The 26,735-nt window shown below is 39.0% G+C and overlaps 1 protein-coding gene across 12 annotated transcripts in view; it reads right to left on the reverse strand.

Annotated features, from left to right (window-relative positions):
• Window positions 1-79: 79 nt before the first annotated feature.
• Window positions 80-26,735, reverse strand: part of C5orf63 (chromosome 5 open reading frame 63) — a 30,941-nt gene continuing 4,285 nt past the window's right edge. For 2 of the 12 annotated variants that reach the window (NR_170930.1, XR_007058601.1), the window contains exons 3-6: window positions 16,400-16,520; window positions 10,131-10,187; window positions 5,131-5,433; window positions 80-5,038 (exon numbers count right to left, since the gene is read on the reverse strand). Coding sequence is in view for 4 of the 12 variants with exons in the window: in NM_001164479.2 (NP_001157951.1) it covers window positions 5,188-5,433; window positions 10,131-10,187; window positions 16,400-16,513 (417 nt within the window). In the remaining 8 variants the exon portion in view is untranslated. Of the gene's footprint in view, window positions 9,466-10,130; window positions 10,188-13,914; window positions 14,025-16,399; window positions 16,521-26,735 lie in introns of all 12 variants that reach the window. The other 10 variants (NR_170934.1, XR_007058603.1, XR_007058602.1 and 7 more) reach the window with 10 other exon arrangements.

Consider the following 26,735-nt stretch of genomic DNA (forward strand, 5'->3'; position numbering starts at 1 on the left):
GCAGCATCCTTCTAACCAAGCAAGGCACGTCCACTTATCTGATGGTGCTGTCAGTGACAGAAAGGGATCATATTATGGATTTGGCAGGGAGGAAAAATATTTATTTCCAAATTTTGAAGATTTATCTTTTCCAGATATGCAAAACCAGTCAGAATATTAAAAAAAAAAATCAATGAAAAGTGATCATGTTTTGTGAGCAGAAGGAATCATTCTTGAATTCAAAATAATAATGAAGACTTATAAGGATCTCAAATCCATGATAAAACAAATGATTTGACAATAGCAAGTGAGTAGGACTACCAAACCCTTAACTGCCCCCTTATGGTGAAGCGATGTCTCCATTTAATGAATGTGTTCCATTAAATGTTTAAATTTCCCCTTTTCTTTTCTCCTCTCCGCTGTTTAGTTTTTTTTCAATGTTCAGCATAACTAAAAAGTCTTAAGTAGGGAATTGCACATAATTATAGGCTCCACACCAATGACAAAGTCATGCCTCTTCTTAAGTATTCATAATCATTTTTGTACTCTTCTTTCCTCCTCTGGACAATTTAGTTAGAATGACAGCAGTGTCCTTTATTTCTCTTGAAGGCATCTGCTGGTCTCACTTTGTGTACAGGTCATAAAACATCAAGAAACACAGTAATGTATTTTTCATGTAGTCACATATACATAAATTTTTAAAAAACACTGCTTTAAATGAATAGAACAAAAGTGGGAGGGAGTAACTAAATTTTATCTATTAAAGTTATTTGGTGAGGTAAGAATGTTTAAAAGACTATCTTTCCAACTCAAAGGCTGTGACCACCCTGAACATGCTGGCTTGTCCTGCCAGCTGACAAGTTGTTTTGTGCTGTTAGGTGTCAACTCAGTGACATCCTTTGCTCTCTCAACCTTTCCTTTATTACTGGCTTAGTGAAATCTGACATTGATAAGAACCCTAACTTGAGAATGCTTCACAGAGCAGGATCATTGCCAAATTCAGGAGTCTTGCTAGTTTGCAAGATGAGAGAATCCATGCAGAACAAAAGGCTGATACTAAAAGTCAGCAATCACAATGGGAATCAATCCCACAATCTGATTTCTAAATATCTTAATCTCCTCTGACCTTAAAAGAGTGAAATTGGCCTAATTTTGAGAATATCTTTACAAGAAAACACAGGGTAAGGTGGAGTGAAATCCTAAAACATAGCTCTTCTGGCAGTTCTTTCCCAACTTCTGACATCTCTTTTTTACCCAGATTATGCATCAATGCCCATTTTCTCTTTGTAGCATTAAATTCATAACAAAGAACATACAGCAAATGCCTCATTTACCTGGTCCAGGATTAAGTCTTTCTGAATATAGGACTTTCTCAGGTGACAGTTAACCTAGTCTCATGATGCAAATGTACATTTTAACTCATTTTTAAGGGAAGCGTTTTCTAAAATTTATTTCCCTCTCTGTTGCCTTAGTGGCCAGGCCACGGGTTGACCTTGTTGTGAGGACTCAGGACCACCACTGAGGTCTTCTGTGCAATGCAATGCTGCAACAAAGCCATCAGGGTTTCTGAGGAGAGCTGGGTCACAGGGTATTCTAAGTAGCACAATGAGGCCATGGGCTCAATTTGCCTTTAACTTGTATCATCTAAACTTTTTGGTGTTCTCAAATCATTAACAAAAGTTCCAATTAATATTTGGCCTACAGTATTTCTAAGGATAGAAAGTTTTCCATCAGGAATTCCGTTCAAATATACCATTTCAGCATAAAGAAGGGATGCCCATGACTCTCAATATAGGCCTATGGTTGGATTCTTCTTATTACTACTAGTCTATTAGCTGGCACTCCTATGTGCTGCTTCTCCTCTTTTGTATGACATTAATATTAATATTAATATTTCCCCTTTCCCTGAAGCTTTATGTCCTTGTAGACTTTAGAATTCAGAGGTTTAGCTTTGGTAGTCATCTTTGAACCTGAGAGAGGAGGTAAAATGCAAAATGTCAGTGCCTAAGCTGAAGACCGATCGAATGAGGCCATTCTCTCTTGATTATGTCTCCATGCTCAACATGAATTTCTGTGTCAATAGAGAGGTACCAAATCTGTTCCAGGTGCAGGATTTTGGGTCACAGCATCAAAGTATCCTGTCTCTATGGTGAACAAGAGTCATGGGTCTGGTGCGCATATCTGTGGACTATAATGGGTTACTATGGTTTACTCTCCAGTGTCAGGGTCACTTTTGAGGCCTCTGAACTCTCCTCCCCACAATTCAGCCAAAAGCCAGGTAGAATGTTATGGCTACCTCATTCTATGCTTTTTTTTTTTTTTTTTTCCTTTTTCTGGAGAACGGGGTCTTGCTATATTGCCCAGGCAGGTCTCGAACTCCTGGGCTCAAGCTATACTCCCACCTCTTGCCTCCCTGAGAGCTGGCATTACAGGCATGAGCCACCGTGCCCGGCCGGCTACCTCATTCTAGTACTGCCCCAACACTGCCTGCCATTTTTGGGTGCTGAGCTAATCAATTACCTCTGGTCTTTAGCTCCTTTCTGGATGTCGTTTCTTAGTGGGTCAAATGAGATATATAAAAACTTCCTAAAAAATGGATACTTTGCTGTCTTTTCTGTATCTTTCAGTTATCATCCCACCACAATTTTCTTTTAGTTTACCTCTTCCCTCTCCACAAAAGTTGTTCTCAATAAGGTCAAGGAAACATTTGTATTCATTTTCTATTGCTGCTGTACCAAATTATCACAAACTTGGCTTAAAACAACACAAATTTATTCTCTCATAGTTCTATAGGCCAGAAGTCAGAAATCAGTTTCACAGAACTAAAGTAAACGTGTCAGCAGGGCTTGCTCCTTCGGGAGGCTATAGGGGATAATCTGTTTTCTTTTTCTTTTCTTAGCTTCTGGAGGCCATTCACATTCCTTGGCTCATGGCTGCTTTCTTGTATCACTCCAACCTTTTGCTTCCATTGTCGAATTTCCTACTCTCTTTACCCTAGTCAAATCTCCTTCTGACTCCCTCTTATAGAGACACCTGTGATTACATTAGGACCTGCTTAGATAATGCAATATAATTTTCCCATCTCAAGATCCTTAACTTAAATCTGCAAAGTCCTTTATGCATATAAGTGACAGGTTCCAGGAATTAGGACCTGGGTATCTTTGGGGACTATTCTTCCTATAGCAGCACTGATTTTCTAATTTTCAAATCTGATGTCTTCTGTTCAGTCCTCATCCTAACTCTCTTGCTATTTGATACTGTCAGTTACTCTGGGAAAAGCTCCTCCCTGACTTTCATGATTATTTTCCTCTGATACGATATCTTTATTGTCTGTCTCTCCCTTAAAATGCAAGACTCTGAGAGTAGGAATCCTGGCTATCTTGTTTGTTGTTTTATCCCCAGTGCTTGGAATAATACCTGCCACTATCAAATCACAAAAGGCATCACGTAATGTAAATTGGATGAGCTTCTCCCATTCCTAGTTCCACCACCACTCTCTCATTTTCCTTCACTAGCAACTTCCTCTATTCTCATGGGTCAAGATTAGTATTCTCCATGGTTTGGGAATAGCTTGCTTTTCTCCTTATATGCCAGGTGGCCACATTTCCAACCATACTCAGTGGGCTCTCAAATGTATACCTTAACCCCAGACCTTTGTTTTGCACTTCTAACTTTTATCTTTACCTTGATATCCCACAAGCATGGAGAATTCACCATGTCTTACCTTTCCCATCCACCAAGCACAGCCCAAAACTAACTTTTCCTTCCTCTTACATTCTCTGCCTCAGGGAATAAAAAGTATCAGAATTCACCCAGTAGTGTAAGCAAGAAAACTGGGAGTTATCCCAGAATCCATGCTTTCTCTCTACTCCCCTCTCCACATCACTACCGACCCATCCAGTCAGTCATGAAGTTTTGTCAACCTCACTCCTAAATATCTCCTGATATCTCTTTCTGTCTGACTCCCATTGCTTTGGTTCATGTCCTTATTACTCCTATGGAGTAGGATATAAGTGAACTTACCAATGTGTCCCTCCTGACTTCTCTTGAGTATGGTAGAATGTCACATTCTTAAGCTTTTTGGAGGCGTGCCAGAGTTGCTGGTCATTGCCTGTCCTGCTTCTGGCCTCTGCCAGTGGGCAGTGACTGTGATTTGCATACCGCTTCCATAGCCAGTTGGCCCAGGGATAGGCTTCTGTCCTAAAGGTGGCTCCTTCTATAGATTTGGTCAGCCAACTTAGGTCATGGGTGCCTGGTTGTAAAATATAAGCTGAGTAAAATTCCTTTTAGGATTTCAGAATAGAGAAGCCTGAGAGGCTCAGGGTGCTGTATTGCTGAACAGAAAGGTTAGCAGTAATGATGGGCATAAGCAGGCTGCAGCTATGAGGAAGCAGATAGTGTGTGTAAGCAGGGGAGCTGTGAGCCAGGAGAGAACAAGGAAGAAAATAAGCCAAGGCACTGTGAGAAGGGTGATGTTTCAGTTTTGGGTGGTTCTTTAATTGTACTTCTGAAGCCTGGCTGTATTGTGATTCCTACTGTCAGATGTCCATGAGATTGCTGCATTATTTAAAAAACCCCAGTCTGAGTATACCCTTGTTTCGTGCAATAAACTGGCCAAAGAGCTATGTGTTCCAGTAAGCTCATAATGTTATGAAGAGACATGTGGAAGAAAGAGGCACTATTCTAGAGCAGCAATATGAAGTCCCAAACTATTCCACTCCTTCATAAGGCATTAGCTTGAAGGGGGAAAAAAAGGAAGCTTGTATCACCTTTTCCTTTGGAGGTGAATGATGAGCTTCTTATATCAAAGTTAATCTTTATATAAAAACAAATTGATCTTTGCAAACATAATTTCAGAAAGGAAAAGTAATTGCTGCTACAAACATCACATGAAAATCACAGTAATAGGTGACATAACACTGATACTTGACAGTGGGATAATCAAACCACCTTTTAGATGCCATGTTTGTAGGTATCTACCTTTCATTTTGCCAGCTGTTGGGACCCATGGGTTTGCTGAAGATCTGCAGGATTCCTAGTCACATGACCATATTCCTCTCTGAAATAAGAATTGATGAGTAAGTTTATTGAAGAGCTATAGGTTAAAACCAACATTAGGTATATGTAACCAATACTCTAAATATGGGATACCTTCAGAAAGCATCTTTCTGTCTCCCTCTATTCCTATATATTTGGTGGATGAATTTTTCACTGTTTAGGATAAAAACAACAGGTCATATCAGGACTCTTGAACATTCTCAGGCAATAGAATGCCCCACAGTCACTTGAAATTGTTTTTGGTGCATCTAATCCCATGTCATAATCAAAACTTAAGACTTGGTTTAAAGTTAAGTTGTATCTTTTCCCCGACTGAGAAGCCATGTGGGGGTGGGAAGGTGAGGAAGGGGAGCGTCTTCTCCTTGTTCCTGGCAGCTTCTGATCCTTGTAGGGTTGCTATGGGAGAAAGAAAAAGTGGAGAGGGGTGAGAATGTTCTTATTTCAGTGGTGGAGTTGTATACTGGCCTACTTTCTGGACCCAATAAACAGTTAAAGCAGACCACACTTGGTACAGGCTGTGCAGGTTATTGGGAGACTGTACCAATTACTGGCGATGTCTTGCCTGCAGTTCCCTGATTTGGGCAAATGGGCTCTCCATTCGAGCAGACCCCTCAGCCCCTCGGAACCCAGTGTTTCCCTCTGGGTATCCCCTTCTGAGGCCTGCCTGCAACGAAGGTGCCCTCATACCAGTCCCCTCTCACATTTGGTTCATATTTGGTCCATGAGGACACACACACACACACACACACACACACACACACACACACACACAAACTTACTTTACTTCCCTGGGACAAACTCAGAGAAACAGCATCAGCTGCCTTCACTGTACAGCCAAATCTGCTTGCTAAACTATCTCTTGCCTGATTTCCCAGGAGAGTTAGACCGCTATGTTCTTCTTACCCAAGGACATACATTCGCTTTCCAGTGAGTCCAACTTATGCCCCTCCCTCTTGATATGAAGTGACTCCCAACCTTTCTACTTTGGTAGAAAATTAGTGAGAGGACATCTTATTTTTAAAAAACTCCTCCAAAGATCCTCTCTCCCAGGTCTATAATAATCCTCCACATGATCTAGTATTTCCTTGAAATGTAGCATCTATTGTTTCTTAGTGCCTTAGCCAGTACTTTAGTTTGAGCATCCTATATCATGGGATTCTTGTTTGAAATTCTAGTGTCAGAAATTTGTTGCTGAAATACTGTTTCACCTTTAGTCTCTGCACTTCCTGCACACTATAACCACATGGTTATACTCAGGTAAGAAGTGCTCCAAGAGAACAAACGTCTCTAGGCTTTCTGGCCAGCCATGCTTTTTGAAGGGAACCAATGGATTTTCTCCATCTTAGTTGAGCAGACACTGAAAGAAACTCTTGGAACCTTTCCAACTGGTGGTCTAGGAGAAGAATCAGCAACCTGGGTCCTAGGGGCTACACAATTCTCACCCTGCCTGGAGAAGGCAGGAATGAACACAGGACACCCAGACACACAAGTGGAGGACTTTGTCTGTGGCATCCCTGGTTGTATTGAGAGTGGGATTGTCCTACAGGACTACTAGAAGGGACTGTTGAGCTCAGCATGCTTAAGGACAGGAAGAAGGACTGCAACAGGCTGGGGTAGGGAGGCCAGACACCCCTGAGTAGTCAGGAGTCAGAAGGACTGACTATGGATAAAGGCAGGAAGCATGGGAGGCTACTGATGCTGGGCCAAAAGCACATTAGCTAAGGCCTTCACAATATGGATCCCAATCTACCTTGCCAGTCTCATCTCCTTCACTCTCCTCCCCTTTACTCCAGCCACACAAAGCCACCTAGCATTTCCTGAATATGCTGTGTCCTTCCACACCCTCATATTTTACATATACTGTTCCCTTGTAGAATACCCTCCTTACTCCCAATCCCCATCCATTGCTTCTATTCAGCCATCAAGACCTAGCTTAAGTCTAATTTTCTGTGAATCATTCCTGCTACTTTTCCCACCTGGTACCATTTGACATGTGTCAGTTCCAGCCCTCATTGCACTATGCTGTGCTTTATTCACTTGTCTCTCCTTGCTCCTTAATAGATAGTGAGTATCTCAAAGACAAGGACTATGATTTATTCATTTCTGTACTCCCATCACCTACTACGGTGCTTCAATGCTGTAAGGACTTGTATTCATTCTCTACTGCTATGTAACAAATTATCATACATTTAGCAGTTTAAAACAAGACATATTTATTGTCTTTCAGTTTCTGTAAACCAGAAGTCTATGCTTGGTGTGGCTGGATTCTTGGATTAGAGTCTCACTGAGCTGAAATCAAGATGTTGGTCAAGGCTGCAGTTCTCATCTGTCGTTGGGGATCCTCTTCTAAGCTTACTGATTATTGGCAGAATTCATTTCCTTGAAGCTATAGGACTGATGTCCCTATCTTCCTGCTAGTTTTTGGCCGAGAATTACTCAGTTCCCAGAGGCTACCCAGTTTCTTGCCATGTGGTTCCACTAGGCAATTCACATGATGCTTGCTTTCTTCCAGGCTTGCTAGAGCACATCTCTCTACTTTCCTCTTTATAACTAACCAGAGAGAATTCTCTGCTTTTAAAGGGCTCACCCAGTTACGTCAGGCCCAGCCAGGATAATTTCCCTTTTGCCATATAATGTAACATAATCACAGCAGTGATATTTCCACCCACACTCAAAGGGACAGGGAATTATCCAAGAGTGGGGATCACTGGGGTTATCCTAGAATTCTGCCCACCCCAGGGCTCAATATTTATGTCAAATAAATGTTCCAGAAATTTGTAAATGATAAACACTGCTATTCAATTGCTAAGATTTTGTTCTTTTCTCTTTTATTTTTTTTTTTTAAGAGACACAGTCTCACTATGTTGCTCAGGCTGGACTCAAACTTCTGGGCTCTTCTGCCTCAGCCTCTCAAGTAGCTGGGACTATAGGCATGTACCACTGTACTCAGCTTAAAAGGCTTTTTAAGTTGATTCCAGATTTGTGTTGGATCCAAAATGGTTGGGGATGCTGTATGTGAGATAACAGGAGCCCCCTGCAATGAGTCCAGAGAGTACTGGAAATCTGGGGCTGTGGGGCAAGACCTGGCCTGCCAACTGACTGGCTGTGTGACCTTGGGTTACGTCCCTGATATTCTCTGAATTTCAGATTTCTCCTCATATATAAAATGGGAGTGGGACTAGACAATGTCTAAGGTCAGCTAGCTCTAATATTCTACACTAAGACTGAATCATCCTGATCAAATTAAAATCTAGTGACTCACAATATCCAAATTCATTCAAATAGTTTAAAAAATAATTTCATTATACATGGAATTGCAGTGGTAAGATTTTAAGAGGAAAGACAGTTTTGTTTTCAAGTGAATCCATTTCTACACTGGCTTAATCTGACTAAATATAAATAAGGGTACGCAAATACATTTCTAACACTTTACATAGAATGGCAAAGAGTATTTTATCTTTAGATGACATATTTAGGAGTGACTTTTTCCAAGATATTAAAATTTGACTTAAAAAAACCTACTGTCTTAAAATAAGTTGAATTAACTCAATTGATGGTAACTGAATAACTATGAAAGGCAGTCCTCAAATACTACAAATGAATTCAATGACTGTGTAGAGAATGTTGAGATTTTTATATACATTTAAGGAGTTTAAGTTTTTCTTTTGTTTTTCTCAAATGATGCCTCTTTGGCTAGGATAATAATTCTCTTCTACTCAACAAAAATGAACTCTAATTTTAAACAGGTATTATTAAATCCCACTGAATAGGCTTCATGCAGATGTATTCCTTAAAACATCGCTTTATTGACCGTGCACAGTTATTAACAATTCACATTTCACTTTATCTACTGAGTGGAAGAGCATTTATTCTTTCATTAAAAAGTTAAGCCCTCCGGGGCAGCAGCAGGAATGCAGAACCTTCTTCCTATAAATGGCATTGCCCAGTGACTGTGAAGTGCTTCTCTATTAATACAAAAAGGATAAATAAGACAAATGGACTTCTCCCTCCCTCCATCATCTCCCTCCCTGCTAATATGCTCTTCTTATTTTATAAAATGCCATTAAGCAAACAGTTCCCACACTGATACTTCCATCAACCAAAAGGGGAATGTCAACATTTATTTGGCACCACTGAATTCAGAACATCCTTAGGGCTCTGTACAAGTGACAAAATGAGTATCAGGCCATGGTCATTTCCTTAGGAAGATGCTTTATGGGAAGAGAGGGTGGAAAATCATGAGGGCATCAGTCAGCCTCCAGTACTTTGCTGCTCAAGTTTCAGGAGCTGTTTTTCAAGTTTTGAGGTGTTTACTCGATGCATCATCAGAAACTGGCCATTCAAGTGAAAGACAGGAATATCAAATTTATACCTTTCATACCAGACAGAGTTTTCTGGAAGTGTGATGTTCACCTCCTGTAAAATGAACTGAAACAGAGACAGACTAAAGCTCTGTATTTTAGACCATGGGGTGATGTAACAACTGCAGTGATAAACTGATCCCCAGACCATTTCTAATGCCATTTTCCTTATAGTTGTTTGTTTGTTTTAGGTCCACAGTGATCTAATGTCCCTGATTTCCAAAACTTGACTGGTTTCATTATATTCTCTACTTCCTGATCTTGCTGCTTTTCTGTTACCCCTGTTACATTCAGCATCAGGACAGTACTCAGTTCCAATGAAATAAAACATGTCCCAGTTGGGAAGCTGACTGAGAATCAGGACAGAAATGTTTTGGTTACAGGAACTGGAAAGGTGTGATGGTGTGTTACGTGAAAACACATCAGTGCAAACTGCAAAACAAGATAAAAGGAATGGGGCAAAAGTTTAAAGAAAACATGAATGCTGCACCTGCTAGTTAACTTTGACTCAGTAAGAGCCAGAGTAAGAAAACCAGTACTGCTCAGAGGAAAACACTTAGGTGTAATGAGTTTTATGGTAATAAGCACTAAACTCTCTCTCTGAAGAACAGAAAGAAAATTTAAAAGAAAAATCATTTAATCTCTTTTCCTAAAGGAAGGATCCAGGCAGATACTTTATACCACATCTAATATGCAATCCATATACATAAAAGCCACACTGTATTATATTACCCTGTTTTCATAAGGCTTGAGTACTTCCTTGGCTTCATCACAAAGGGGGCATGGGTCCTACAGGAAGAAAAAAAACCCAAGCGATTAAACCCAAAGAATGGCATTTGCCCTTACAAAAACAAAACAAAACAAAAAACCCATAAGAGGCAGATTATACTTATTTTAAAGAATAGTTTTCTACCATGTTAGTTACACTGCTTTTCCAAAGTAAAACACTACCATAGAATCTTATAAATAACTAATATTTCATAGGCTCTGTGCATTTTTTTGGTTGTTTTGTTCTGATTTTTCTCCATAAATCAAGCCATCTATCTATGTGTATATATAATACATACATATAGATGTTTCTCTTTTTCACTGATCTAAGGGCTTTGTCCTTCCTAGGTCAGGTGCACCCTTGTGGCCTCATACAGTTGGCCTGGCTGACACCACGAGGATGGCTTAAAGTCTGCTCTGACTGAAAAGCACTGAGCCTTGCCAGCCTGTTTTTCCTAATCAGTCCACAGGAAGAAACCCATTAGGATGGAGTCAGATAGTAATTGCCTCATCTTTAAAAAGTAAAACAAATCTCTATTCACTTCAGATGATTATTGCACCGCCTGTTTTCTCATTACAAGTGTCAACAATAGGTTTCCTGGACAAATTCTCCACCTGAAGAGCAAACAACTTTTAGTGTCCATTGTTTGCACTCATAAACCATCTAGCAGAGAAGTCTGTTGAGAATACTATGGATCGTCGGCAGATTTTATTTATTTTATTTTATTTTTTTCCCACTTTCTCCTATATTTTGTTATTATACTTTTATTATATATGTTATATATATTATACCTTTTTATTATACTTTAAGTTCTAGGGTACATGTGCACAACGTGCCGTTTTGTTACACATGTATACATGTGCCATGTTGGTTTGCTGCACCCATCAACTAGTCATTTACATTAGGTATTTCTCCTAATGCTATCCCTCCCTGCTCCCCGCACCCCACGACAGGCCCCGGTGTGTGATGTTCCACACCCTGTGTCCAAGTGTTCTCATTGTTCAATTCCCACCTATGAGTGAGAACACGCTGTGTTTGGTTTTCTGTCCATGCGACAGTTTGCTCCAAATGATGGTTTCCAGCTTCATCCATGTACCTACAAAGGACATGAACTCATCCTTTTTTATGGCTGCATAGTATTCCATGGTGTATATGTGCCATATTTTCTTAATCCAGTCTATCACTGATGGACATTGGGGTTGGTTCCAAGTCTTTGCTATTGTGAACAGTGTCGCAATAAACATACCTGTGCATGTGTCTTTAGAGTAGCATGATTTATAATCCTTTGATTTATAATTGGCTTATCATGTTATTATTAGCATTAGCAATACATAGATTATGGGTAGTTTGTAATGTTTTAAGATAATCATCCTAAAATTTTCAGAGAAGGTTTCAAAAAGTCAACACAGGATCTTAAAAGCAAAAAAACCCAAGAACATGCTAAATTACAGAAGTACCAAATGTGCTAAAATTTTGCTTTTATATTAAGAATTTTAGAAGAATCTAGATTGGGTTTTTTGTTTTGTTTTTTAGACCTGGGGTCCACAGAAGTCTATGCAAATTATACCTGAAAATATGTGTATATATTTTTATATATACACAGTAATAGGATCACTGGGTCAAATGGTATTTCTAGTTCTAGATCCTTGAGGAATCGCCACACTGTTTTCCACAATGGTTGAACTAGTTTGCAGTCCCACCAACAGCATAAAAGCGTTCCTGTTTCTCCACATCCTCTCCAGCACCTGTTGTTTCCTGCCTTTTTAATGATCGCCATTCTAACTGGTGTGAGATGGTATCTCATTGTGGTTTTGATTTGCATTTCTCTGATGGCCAGTGATGATGAGCATTTTTTCATGTGTCTGTTGGCTGCATAAATGTCTTCTTTTGAAAAGTGTCTGTCCATATCCTTTGCCCACTTTTTGATGGGATTGTTTGATTTTTTCTTGTAAATTTGTTTAAGTTCTTTGTAGATTCTGGATATTAGCCCTTTGTCAGCTGGGTAGATTGCAAAAATTTTCTCCAATTCAGTAGGTTGTCTGTTCACTCTGATGGTAGTTTCTTTTGCTGTGCAGAAGCTCTTTAGTTTAATTAGATCCAGTTAGCCTATTTTGGCTTTTGTTGCCATTGCTTTTGGTGTTTTAGTCATGAAGTCCTTGCCCATGCCTATGTCCTGAATGGTATTGCTTAGGTTTTCTTCTAGGGTTTTTATGGTTTTAAGTCTAACATTTAAGTCTTTAATCCATCTTGAATTAATTTTTGTATAAGGTGTAAGGAAGGGATCCAGTTTCAGCTTTCTACATATGGCTAGCCAGTTTTCCCAGCACCATTTATTAAATAGGAAATCCTTTCCCCATTGCTTGTTTTTGTCAGGTTTGTCAAAGATCAGATGGTTGTAGATGTGTAGTATTATTTCTGAGGGCTCTGTTCTGTTCCATTTGTCTATATCTCTGTTTTGGTACCAGTACCATGCTGTTTTGGTTACTGTAGGCTTGGAAGAAGAATCAATATCATGAAAATGGCCATACTGCCCAAGGTAATTTATAGATTCAGTGCCATCCCCATCAAGCTACCAATGACTTTCTTCACAGAATTGGAAAAAACTACGTTAAAGTTCATATGGAACCAAAAAAGAGCCCGCATTGCCAAGACAATCCTAAGCAAAAAGAACAAAGCTGGAGACATCACACTACCTGACTTCAAACTATATTACAAGGCTACATCGGCAGATTTTAAAGGTCTGACTGAACAGGGACCTGCTATAGGTTCTCTTGGATGAGCTCAAAACAGACCCCAAATTACTTATGCTTATATAAAACCTTCTTTTTAACATGACAGGAAGAGATAAGCTATTATGTAAAAGAGAGGGCTTTCCTCCAGCTTAACTCACAGCTTGTTTTGAAATAAGAATCACACCATTAAAGGGTCTTTCTGGCCCTAATTTCCTAGAACAGAGAATTGGCTTATCATGTTATTATTAGCATTAGCAATACATAGATTATGGATAGTTTGTAATGTTTTAAGATAAACATCCTAAAATTTTCAGAGAAAGTTTCAAAAACTCAACACAGGATCTTAAAAGCAAAAAAAACCAAGAGCATGCTAAATTACAGAAGTACCAATTGTGCTAAAATTTTGCTTTTATATTAAGAACTTTAGAAGAATCTAGATTGGGTTTTCTGTTTTGTTTTGTTTTTTAGACCTGGGGTCCACAGAAGTCTATGCAAATTATACCTGAAAATATGTGTATATATTTTTATGAGGAAAGGCTCATCAAATTTTAAAACAATAAAGAACCAAAAAAAGATACCAGTGGAATGGACCATTCAAATATCCTTCTCTAGGATTTTCCATGGCACTTGTTATTTACTCTGTCCCTAACCATAGTGGGCATTTGTTGGGTTGGCTGTCCACCACCCACTTCCCTTTCTTGTAGCAAGCGTGTTATAATATTGCTTCACAGGAACTACTCTCAGCATGTGGCTGACTCCATCCCAGAAAAACAAAGGTGAGAAACCTGACTTAGGCTCAGGCAATCAGTGCATCCTATCCCTCAAGAATGGGCCAATCAGAGCCAGTGGGTAGCTATAAGGCTTTTGCTGGAGTTTCTGTAGATGACTGAGATGTGAGATCTGAGGCTTGGGATGGCTGCAGTCATCCATGATGAATTAGTCCGTTTTCATGCTGCTGATAAATATATACCCAAGACTGGGCAATTTATGAAAGAAAGAGGTTTATTGGACTTACAGTTCCACATGGCTGGGGAGGCCTCATAATGATGGCGGAAGGCAAGGAGGAGCAAGTCACATCTTACATGGATGGCAGCAGGCAAAGAGAGACCTTGTGCTGAGAAACTCCTGTTTTCAAAACCATCAGATCTTGTGAGACCCATTCACTATCACAAGAACAGCACAGGAAAGACTCACCCCCATAATTCAATCATCTCCCACCAGGTGTCTCCCACAACATGTGGGAATTATGGGAGCTATAAGATGAGATTTGGGTGGGGACACAGAGCCAAACCATATCACATGAGAAGAACTAGAGGGGGATTTAACCCTGAGGATGCAAAGCTGAAGAGATTGTTAACATGTTTAGTTCCTAAATCAAGCTGTTCCTGAAACCAGAGCAACTCCAAAATCTTTTTGTTTAACTCACTCTGGGAAGTACTTTCTATTTTTCATAACTGATAGCAATCTGATACTGTACTTTTAAGCATTTACTTCACTGGATTATAAGCTGCCAAAGGTGGGAGTACCATCTTCTTGTGTGCCTAATGGTACAGAATAAGCATTAAGTATAAATATTAAGCTGAATGGAAAATTGGTGTGGTTTTTTCGTTTTGTTTTTAACAAATGTTTCTGGCTATATAAACTGCTGCCCAAACCGAAGAACAGTGCAGAACTGTTAGGCTGAGTGAGCAACACCAGCCTTAAGGGATTATTTAACTTCTGTGGTTTGCACATGGGTTTCCCATCATAGACTCTCAGATGATGAAATATTTTTGGTTCCATAATTTCCAACAGTGCAATATATACTTACAGATATAAAAAGTAGTTTAGATTAAATATTTTCATCAATAAATTCATTTTTAAAACTCATTAAACTTTGTTATTAAATAACTGTCATATATATCCAAATTGCTAAAATGCCTGAAATCTCAAAAACCTATTGAAAAGAGATCTTTTTTGTTTGAATTGCAGTATTATTCACCAAAGTTACTTCTATTAACCTGCACTTTATTTCTTTTTTGTTAAATCACACAAAGTGATGTTAATTAGCAAAAAAAGAAATCAGTAATGTCTGTATTATAATTTCAGGGAGATAAAGCTGTTAAATATTTTAAAACTAGCTTTATGGCTTAAAACTAGTGTTAGGGATAAGAAAACAACTATAATCAGTCCTCATTATTTATGGATTCCATATTTATGAATTTGCCTAATTGCTAAAACTTCCTTGCAACCCCCAAGTCAATACTTGAAGCGCTTTTGCAGGTATTCACAGACATGCACATGCATAGACTGGTGAGAGATTTCAGTTACCCAAAGCATTCATTCTAAGCTGAGGTCAAACAAGGTGATGCTCTGCCTTCTTGTTTTAGCTCTCATACTGTAAATGTAAGCTAGTGTCCTTTTCATGGTGTGCATAGTGCCAGGATTTTTGCATTTTTGTGCTTTTTATTGGTGATTTCACTGTTTAAATAAGCCCCCAGACACAGTGCTGAAGTGCTGGCTAGTGTTCCTAAGCACAAGAAGACTGTGATGTGCCTTATGGAGAAAATACATGTGTTCGATAAGCTTCATTTAGGCATGAGTTATACACAAGTGCTATTGGCTGTGAGTTTAGTGTTAATGAATCAACAATATATACTAAATAAGGTATCTTTATTAAAAAAATTTTTTTTTCAACTTTTATTTTAGGTTCGGGGGTACATGTGCAGCTTTGTCACATGGGTAAATTGCATGCCACTGGGGTTTGGTGTACAAATGATTTCATCACCCAGGTAGTAAGCATACACCTGATAGGTAGTTTTTCGATTCTCACCCTCCACCCTCAATTAGGCCCTGGTGTCTATCATTCCCCTCTTTGTGTGCATGTGTACTCAATGTTTAGCTCCCACTTATAAGTGAGAACATGCAGTATTTGATTTTCTGTTCCTGTGTTAATTTGCTCAGGATAATGGCCTCTAACTGCATCCATGTTGCTGCAAAGACATTATTTCATCTATTTTATGGCTGCATAGTATTCCATGGTGCAAATGTAAAAATAAAGTATCTTTAAATAGAATCACACATAAAATAAGGTTCTGTATTTGGTAGGCTGATGAAAATATTATGACCAGAGACTCATAGGAACCTAACTGTGTATTTCCCCTAGGAGCAATATTCATTAATTCAGCGTTCAAGGTGACTTTATAGAACATAATTACCACAAATAAAAATAATTGATTGTATTTCTAAATGATACATTTTTAAACACCATATTATAACCTATACTTCATTTTTTTCAATGTAGGGGCCAGATGACCATTAAATACATCAATTTACTCTTTGCTAATTGGGAGATAATAAGGTATCTGGGTAGAAAACTGAGTTGCTGCTGTTGTGCTGATAGAAAAATTGAAGAGCAGGTCTGAAGAAAGCTTATTCCATTGCCTTTCCTTTCAACTTTGTCCCTTTTTCTTAAATGTACAACTTTCTTCACCCAACAATTTTACTTTTTCACTTTGTACCTTTGTGAATAAGGTCAACACAGGCAGAGTTGTCTTAGAGGCAGAGCAATTTCTCAAGAAGAGTCCAAAGGAGGATCTGGCAAGTTGCATGCTATTTCCTTGAAACCAGAGCATCTTAATTCTGCCAAAAGAAAAATAAAGCAGTAAACTTATGTGCCCTAGACTTTGTTCCTTACAATATGGACAGTAATTTCCAAGCTTATGATGGAATTTGCGGGCTTCAGAATTGTTTCTTCAAGTCCAGGAGTGTTGGAAAGACCTATAAATTTGGCAAGTCTCTCTGATGCCTCAACATTCATTGTATTCCGAACGAAACAGAATTTAGAATAGAAAAAAATCCCTTGTTATGAATTAGCTGTATGCCTAATCACTTGGTTTCTGAAAGTAAACTGCATGGGTTTGTTAATTTGAATATAAAATTTCATCTGCAGATTTTGCCGGCATCTTGATGATCCCCTAAAATATGGAGGTTTCCTGAGATGGCTTTTATTCTCATGGATAGCTTATTATACTGGCAAGCATTCAACAATACCTAGCCACTGCCATGGTAAAGAAAACAATGAGGGCCAGATGCCATGGCTCACACCTGTAATCCTGGCACTTTGGGAGGCCAAAATGGGCAGATGACTTGAGCCCAGGAGTTCAAGACCAGCCTGGGCAACATGGCAAAACCTATCTCTACTAAAAATACAAAAAATTAGCTGGGTGTGGTGGTGTACACCTGTAGTCCCAGCTACTCAGGAGGCTGAGGTTGGACAATCACCTGAGCCTGGGAAGTTGGGGCTGCAGTGAGCCATGATTGCACCACTGCACTCCAGTCTGGGGGATGGACATGAGATCTTATCTCAAAAAAAAAAAAAAAGAAAAAGAAAAAGAAACAATGGGTAAGCAGCTAAGCAGCATAAGTCCCCAGGTAAAGGTTCAGACTATCCCTTATGAGACCTATGCTTCTCCACTGTGAGACATAAGAAAACACAAAGCTGGCCAGGCGTGGTGGCTCACGCCTGTAATCCCAGCACTTTGGGAGGCCAAGGCATCACCTGGGGTCGGGAGTTTGAGACCAGCTTGACCAACATGGAGAAACCCTGTCTCTACTAAAAATACAAATTAGCTGGGCATGGTGGCAGGAGCCTGTAATCCCAGCTACTCGGGAGGCTGAGGCAGGAGAATTGCTTGAATCTGGGAGGTGGAGGTTGCAGTGAGCCGAGATCGCACCACTGTACTCCAACCTGGGCAACAAGAGCAAAACTACATCTCAAAAAAAACAAAAACAAGAACAAAAACCACAAAGCTTACTTACAGGAACTATAGGAGAGAATCAGGCTGAATTACCTTGTCAGAAAAAAAAATCTACTCAACTCCTTAAGAAGTGTTTCAAAAGGAGATCATCATAACTTTTGGAAACCTCATACACAAATGTACTTGTGTTTCTACTGGACATATTCCAGTAAGAACAGCTTGGTGATCGCAGCATCTCAAACACTAGGCTTTGAAGCTTCCTCATCCTGCTACTTTGCTCAACATAAGACATAAGTCCTCTGTGATGCTACAGTCATTCTGTTTAATCCTAGTTATTCTACTGAGTCTCCAGTTTTGTCCTGAAAACTGTAAATATTATAATTTCACTTTAAAAACACATGTGCACTATTGGCTTCATCATTTATCAGTATTTCTAGGATGAATTAATTCCTGAGATCATCATTTTTAAACTTTGCTTTACTGTATCTCTGCAACTTCATCTATCACTTTCCCCTCCCTTGCCTTGGCAAGTTGCAACTGCAAAGTTTCTCTTTCTGTTCTTTGTATACCCAATATCATTTCTTCCTCGTTTTGTACTTGCTTTACTTCTGCATGAAAAGCTCTGAAGTAGCTTCTCCTCACTTGGCCTGGGCCTCATGTAATCTCCTTGGAGGTTTAGTGACTAACTTACCAATGTTAGTCAGCCCAACACTCCCCACCCTCACATCTTGCTGTAGTTTTCTTTTGCCCTTTACTATCAAAAATTATTTATGTCCCCTCCACTACAATGCAAGTTCTATAAGAACAGGTACTTGTTCAACCCTGTATCTCCAAGTACCCACAATTAACCTGGCACATAATAGGCACTCAAATATTTATTTGTATGTTAAAAGTATTGAAGTGAGCTTTTCTCACCTTCTTTAATCTCACCTCTACCCCTGATTAGATACTCAGTATGTACAGCAGTCACTATTTGGGCCTATTCTATATAATAACTAAAGATCAGTGCTCCTCAGGGTACCCACAAAATTTTGGGTTGGGGTACTGCAACTGGTTCTAACTCCTTCACCACCACCTCAAATCTTGCCCTCCTCTGCTTCACAGAGCATTACTATATTAATTAAATGCTAATCTTCACTAGAGACAAGGCTCCTCAGTGTGAGATTAGCCTTAAACTCATTTCAAACAGAATGATACGACTTTAGAGAAAACCACCAACCCATATCATGCTAGAATAAAGACCACAGAACAAAAAGACTGGATACTGATCCATGAAAACAATGATTATTCCCTTATTCTTCAGCCCTTACTCTTCCACTTCTACTTGGATCTCTCTGCCAACTAAATGATCCTGATAAATGCATAAAAAAGGAATATGATGAGAATTTTACAAGGATCTGCTATCCAGTTGTTCCAAGGTAAAAAGTAGATCTAAACAATTTCATAACATTCTGTGCTACTCTCAACGAAGTGTTAATCACTGGTACATACATATTTTTATAGATTCAGCAGAATGAACAATTTTCCAATAGGTAAATGTAGTTAGAGACATACCTTCTAAACACAGCTTTGTCTACACAGGCTATAAAAATGGGGAGGAGGTACAGAATTGTTAGCCATGTTTACTCTAGGTAGAAACTTATACATCATGGGATGTGGAAAGTCTCTATGCTAATGGTGACACACCCTTCTAAGAGAAAGAAAATTAAAAATTAGCTTTATTAAAGGCAGAAGAATTAACTTCATTAAAGAAAAATTAGTTTTATTAAAGGTCCCTGGAAATGAGGAGGATTAGGCCATCTGTGGTGGTGATCTGACTACGACCAGGGCAGTGAACTGCAGCTACATGCTTCTGGTGAAGGGATTTAAGATTTATTGACGTCTGGTTGATAAGAAAAGGAAAACATTGCTTTTACCTGGCTGAGTTGAGACTGAAGTATTAAGGCTTTTTTAAAAACTTCAAATTCACAAAGGAAATCTGCTTCAGTTTTTCCAACATGACAAAACACAGCATGTGGTCTTGGTTGCACCCAAGACAAATAAAACCTGTCATAGTAAGCAGAGTTGCTATTCATTCCAGATTTGCTGGAGGATTTGTTCAACCAATCTACAGAGCTAAGTAAAGTCTTCAGTGATGCTACAACCATTCTGTTTGTAACTAGTTCTCTTTTCCACTGTTATTCTCCATTTCTAGTTTTTTACACATTTTAAATTGCTTAAACATGGCACATCTATTTACTGAGAAATGCATCCATATTATGCAATTTTACTACCTGCATATTCTTCAAATACTCTAAGGTATATGCATTTTGTTAAATTAACTTATTTCTTTGGAAGCACTGTATTATAAAATTATATTAGAGCCTGATAGAAAAAGCTCCCTATACCTCTTCTAGGCAGATAGTATGCTAAAATTCCTTAATTTCTAACATTTACTTAATCCTAGAAAGAAAAAAATAAAATGAAAAATGATACACTTCAATGGGAACTCTATAATATTCTTCTTAGAACATTTTACTAACTCTGTAAACCCTAACACCATTGCTGTCAATGTCACATTCACTGAATCATGCCTTCTTGAAGTAAAATTTTAATATGGGCTACTCTGTCAATGTGACATTTTCATTAGTTCTATTATTTTTGAACAGTATCTCAGCACTATAAAAAATATCCTGAAACATGGTCTCTGCCTGTTAGCTCATGACTGTGAGAGGACAACACTTTTTTGATTATGTCATTGAATTTAGTCATGAAATATGTGTCCTTACTACACACACAGACATGATTTTATCCTTCATATTTTGTTATATGCCTCTATGATATGAGCAAAAAGAGCTGTGTTCACAATACCAAAGAAGAACAATTGGGTCACCTTTGTCACAGACTTAAAAAAAAAAAAGCAAAAAACATAAGATTGGATTTAGAATGTGCTTAAAACAAATTCCACAGCCTAACAATAAAGATGGTGACTCCTGCCGTTTCAAGTCCAGTGCCCCTCGGAGGCATGGATCACCCTGAAAGAGAAAGGGAATGCTGGCCTTTCAATAAAACTGAGGCTGATTTCAGTGGTCTTTATGGCAGAGTCAAATACAACATGGGAGCAGGACTGACTGGACCAATTCAGCCCTCCTTGAAGCAACATAAGAAAAATAACTTTATAGTATTTTCCCTGCAAGGGACTAAAGGGCACACCATTAAGGCAACTGATTATAGTACAGAAAGAAGCCAGGGTCGTTTGAGTCTTTATTAAAGATTATTCATTTCTTGCATGAGGAGCTGCCCAGGCTATGGCTGCACATCACTTGTATGGAGCTCCTGGATTCTTCAAACACTGTGTGTGTCTGATTAGAAGGGACACAACATTATTCTCACTTGAGTAGAGAAACTGCCCTTCACCGACCAGAATTTTTATTCATACAAAGAATCCTTTGGCACACCAAATTTTCAAGCTCATGTGATCCCTCATCAGCAAGCTGCAGTGTTAGTTCATGTGCAAAATCAAAAAGTCTACATCAGCCCAGGTACTGCCTTGGTTATTTAACAGATAATGTTGGAGCTTGTTCACAAGAATATAATGTAAATTTAATGCTGAGCTGACATTAACTAAATACTATTACTGTAGCTCTCACTGAACCTATATTCCCTAAAGAAGACTCAGGGCTTCTGTTCAGTCATTTGTGCCATGTGAGAAGTTAAGTGCTCTATTTCCCATTTATTACTATCTAAGTGTAACATTCCTATTTTTACCCAAATGACTGGAAACATGTACACACAAACACACACACACACCTCTTCTGGGAACAAAACCATTATTTTAGATTACTGGAAGTTTATGTAATGAGGTGAGGTTGCTCTTAGGGGACACATCTGGGTCACTGGGCTCTACCAATCCAGCGAAACAGGGACAATTGATGCCTCCCCAGTGTGCCTCTGTGCTTTTGGTCAGTCATTGGTGTCCAAACCTCTCACTCTCCCAAACAAGTGGGAACCTAGCCTGGGATCTTGGGTTCAAGGGCAAGAGAGAAAATGACTCTCGTGGAGCCAAGAGTGACAAGAAGAGGTGCCATATAGGGACAAAACCAAAACTGAAAATTGAGTAAATACTTTGATATGTCAATTCCAAGGGGCTACACAGAGGGAAAATGAAGCTTTGGAACAGAAACAGGGAGTGAGGAGTAGAAGGCCCAACCTGGAGTGCAGCTCTAACTCACTGGCATAGGTGAGATCAGAGGTGCTTTTCTAGTGTCTCAGCCTTAGCATCCAGGTGGAAGTGTTAAGGAGGTAGAGCCAACTCAAACAAAATGTTGCAACAAAGATCCTGAGCTAACCACCCACCTATGGGCCCGGCTATACATGGTGTCACGCTCAGCTTCATTCTGACTACACAGTTTGGACTGCAGATTTGCTTCCACACAACACATTAAACTATGAATAGGCCTATATTATGGCCCAGCCCTGGGGACTGAGACGCAGCTCCTCATACCACTCCCTCTATGCAGCTTCTACTTCCAGATTTCAGTGTCAACAGGTTTACCACACAGGGGATGAGAGAAGCCAGCAAAGAATCAGTCTCCAGAAAGGATTGGTCACATGAGTGCCTGGGACAAAAACTCTTTATTTCCCTTCAAGTTATTACCATGACAATTTCTAAGTAGCTGGATGTCTCTATTCCACTGTTTGGACTCGATGGGTGCTACATTAATTTGTATTCAACACACTGCTCAGTTGAAAACATTCTTTAGCTATTTGAAGTGTGGGCCTTGCCTAAGATGACAATTTCACTGAAGGTATACAGCATTTACATATCCTTCACTTAGTAGATGCACATCCCCTTACCCTTCTAGTTCTCAGTAACATTAAGCCATTAATTTTTTTTTTGTATCCTGCCTGCTGTTTAGCTCATTTTTTCACCTCTAAATAAAGCTCTCAGATGGACTAATCAACTCCACATGTTTGATACAAGTAACAAGAATAACAAGATGTATTTCAGTTATACAGATTCAGGAGAAAGGTGTTGAATTCTTAACTAAAACAATAAAGTTTTATGTCAGGCTTCACAGTGATTAGTGAATCAATGATATCATTCACTCATTAGTTCCACAATGGGGATGGAAAGATGGGTTAAAAATGAATAAGGGTTGATCCCAACCCATGAAAAATCTGGTCAGAAGTTAAGACATGTATATGAGCAGGTAAATTAGAAATACAGGAAATACTGTAACAGGGCCATATAATTCAAATGTTATAAGAGAATGGGAAAGAAGAGTACTATAGGCTAAAATTGGAGGTGGCTTCACAAGAGAAATATCTTAAATCATTTCATTGAGAATTTGGATATGTAGAAAAAAGGGAAAGCTTTCCAAATTCAGGGTTAGACACAAAGGTAATGGAGGTAGGAATGACATGGCTATCTGATGGGGGAAACCTTGAACGGGGTAAAGAGACTTCTGCTGAATAATAGTGGAAAATAAGCTTTGGAAGGTGGACTAGGATAAGCCTGTGGAGGATTTTAATGGTGGTTAAGCAATGTGTGATGTGTTGTATATGTCTTGGGAACCACTGAAGGGTTCTGAATGAGTGATGTGATAAAATCAGTGTTTTGAAAGATTAATCTGGCAGCAGCAGGCAGAAAAGACTGTTGAGAAAAGGAGAATGGAGGTGGGAAAGAGAAGTCAGTTATGAAAATCTAGGTGTGGGATGCATTATTTATTCAACAATTATCTAATATTTTGCATGTATCAGATACTATTATAGGTGTTGGGGTATGGTGATGAACAAGAAAGTAAGGTACGTTGCCTTCATGGGGTCCATGTGCTAGTGAAGAGACTCTTTAATGTCAGGCCACTTGAGATGGTGATACATACAGGGGAGAGATAATAGCAGAGTGATGTGATGCTGACTGAGGCAGGTTCTTTAATTAAGGTATTCTCTGAGCAGGTGTTGTTTGCACTGGAGAGGAAACAGTAAATGCAAAAGCCTGTAAGTGAGGACAAATGATTTATTGAAAGAAACAGAAAAGATTGTATGGCTTAAGCAGAGTACACCAAGGAAAAGGGGATACAATCAGGAGACGAGATTAACCCACAGTAAGCAGGCATCAGATCACGTAGGCCTTGTGGGTTATGTTAAAGAATTGAGATTTTATTCTAAGTACAGTTAGATTTAGAGGAGGGAAATGACATGATCTCATATACATTTTTAAAAGGAAACTTCAGCTGCTGTGCGAAGAACAGATTGTTGGGGGGCAAGAGTGGAGCAGGGACGCAGGTAGAAGGCTACTGCATTAGTTTGGATGAGACGGGATGGTATGGACTAGAACAGAAACAGAGCCAACAGGACTTGCCAATGAATTGGACATGAGGAATTAAAGAAAAGAAAAGAGGGCAGTAAGGTCAATCTCAGTTTTGGTCCTGAGCCTCTAGGTGGGTGGCAGTGCCTGTTACTAAAATAAGGAAAACTGAGGCAAGAACAGATTGAAGAATATGTCGGACCAAGAGCTCGGTTAGGGACATGTCAGAACTCACATAGAGAATGACATACACAGGTTTGATACTCAGGAAAAAAATCCGGGTCTAAAGATAAAGACTTGAGTCTCCATCGGTTTAAGGATTATATTTACAGCTATGAAACTAGGTGAAATCATCTAAAATTGTACAGAAAAAAAAAGAGGGCCCAGGATAGATCTCTGAAGCAATCCAACATTTAGAGGTTGGATCAAGAGGAACCAGCAAATGAGGCAGACAGAACAGCTGGTGAGGTAGGAGGAAAACCTGAAAAGTGTGTCATCACAGAAGTCAATGAGAAAGTGTTTCCAGAATGACAGAATTGTCCATTGTCAAGGAGACTGATGAGGGCTTGTCTAGAACAGGGACAGTGAAACAATCTACCACAAATCAGAAGAGATGCATCTAATGTTGCTTCAAAGGAATGAAATCTTTCAACCAATGCCTACTCCTAAAATGAACTACCTTAAGTGGTTCTTACCCAATTTAACATCTTAACTAAAAGGAGATCTTTCTGGTGAAGATGGAGTGGGAAGGGTGGGAAGAGTGAAGGCAAAAGTTGATTGGGTATCTTAAAAAGAGATGATGAAGGTAAAAATCTCTGTGTAAGTTATAAAGCAGAATAGAAAAGTAAAGCTTAAGTACTGATTACTAAAAATACTAAAAGTAAGAGATCACTATTAATAATAATGATTCTATTGACTGAAATGTGCTTTTACTGGCATCAAATGAAACATTTAAATCTCTATTAACAGCAGTCTCAGAAATGCGGAATTGCAAAACTGAAAAAAATTTCAAATAGAAATAACTGAAAGTTTTCTCACAAATATTATTTAAACAGGAATTTCTAAGATATGACTGTTTAAATATTCAACATATTTATCTGCACCTAAGGATGTCACTAAGCCTAGGTAAGACTGACTAGCAAATACCTTGGCACCAGGTATTGGCTTAAACTTACTCAGCCTTCACAAAATTATGAAGGTACTGAAATTTAGATTTTGAGAAATCAAGGTTTCCCCTTGATGGGTTTTAAGCAAAGGCCAGTTCCCTTCCAATTGGTTTTTCCCAATATTTGTTTTTATTTCTCAAACAGGGAAAAATTCAGTACCATTATTATTTTACCAAGGATATCCTCAATTCATGCACGTCAAAAAAGAAGCCGCCTAGGTAATTGTAAAGGTGGATTTTATTGATAATCTTTAAAGACAAAACTTGTTCCAAGTGGTTCTGAGTAAATTGTCTAGAGAGGTCAAAATAAATTTAAACCAACACAGCTCCTACTAACTAATCAGTCAGAGGAATTAAGCATAAATGGTATAGTTCTTCATTTTGAGCTTTGAAGTTATTCTTCACATAGAGTTTCCGTTGAAATTCAGCATGTTTGACTTCCCTGAGTGCATTTTTAGGTGAGGATTTCATAAACATAAAACCCAAAGAGGGAGGCAAATCCTCATCTCCTAAAGCCTCAGTTTCAGCCACAATTAAATGGAAATGCTACCACTTGTCCCATTCTCTCATTTTAGAAACCCAAAGGAACTGTGCCTGGGGCTTTGGGCCTCAAGCATTCTCCTGATCAGAGAAGGGGAAATCACATGCTAAACAAATGCCATGGGAATAGTCTATGACTAAATAAGGCCTTGAATAAAAAATCCAAAGTAGTTTTTATCTGTAGGAGCCTAAAATAGCCCCTTAAAGAGGACTCAAATTCACTTATAGATCCAGGCAGAAGTGTAAAGATACTTGTTCACTGCATACTCTCTTTTCTCACTCTCAATCATAACTGGGAAGTGTTGGTGTCAAAAGGAACCAAGCTGGAAAATGGGGAAGGTGACACTAAGGCACTCATCTTGCAACTGTCTAAGCATCCAAGATGGAACTCTCCCTACAAAGAAAAAATAATGAATTTCTCTTTCTTACTATTAAACACATTTTAAAGATGATTTTAAATGAAAGATCCTCTTCATCCTGGCATTCTCTTTCCCATCCAGAAACACTGCTGTCTTTGCCTCAGCTGTGGCAAGCTGACAAATGTAAAGTGGAAGGGGAGAGGAGTCTTCAGTATAAGCAAGATTTTGTTTTAGAATATGTAGATCTTAGCATTCACACTTTCCAGATCATTGCTTTGGAGGAGTCTACTCAGTAATGGGGTTGGTGCACATGACAATGTCAGGGAAGAGTTTCCAAACACTCAGCTAAGAAAATAAAATAATGATGCCAATCAAGAACAGTAATGTACGCTCACCATATACCCCCTCTAGTTCCCAAGAGTCCAAAGGGAATTCTGGACTAATTCCTGTTAACACAATGGGGTTTGCACACACTACACCCCTCCCCTCCATCCTCAACTCCAAAGATACTGACTCAGCAACTGGCCTGGAGCCAGAGCAGCATATTCCAAATTCAGAGTGTGCAACAATGCTCGGTTCAATTATGACATAATGGCTGCAAAGCTGTTCCTGAAAGCCAAGAAAACCTGAATAATGTGGTTGGGTTATATCATACATGAGGCCTTAATAGAGTTTAAAAACCAATTTGAAAATTCCTTCATTCCATAAAGATAGCATTAAGATGAGGGCAAAATCATTCTAGTT

The sequence above is a fragment of the Homo sapiens genome, chromosome 5 (genome assembly GCF_000001405.40).
Source record: "Homo sapiens chromosome 5, GRCh38.p14 Primary Assembly".
Classification (NCBI taxonomy): Eukaryota; Metazoa; Chordata; class Mammalia; order Primates; family Hominidae; genus Homo; species Homo sapiens.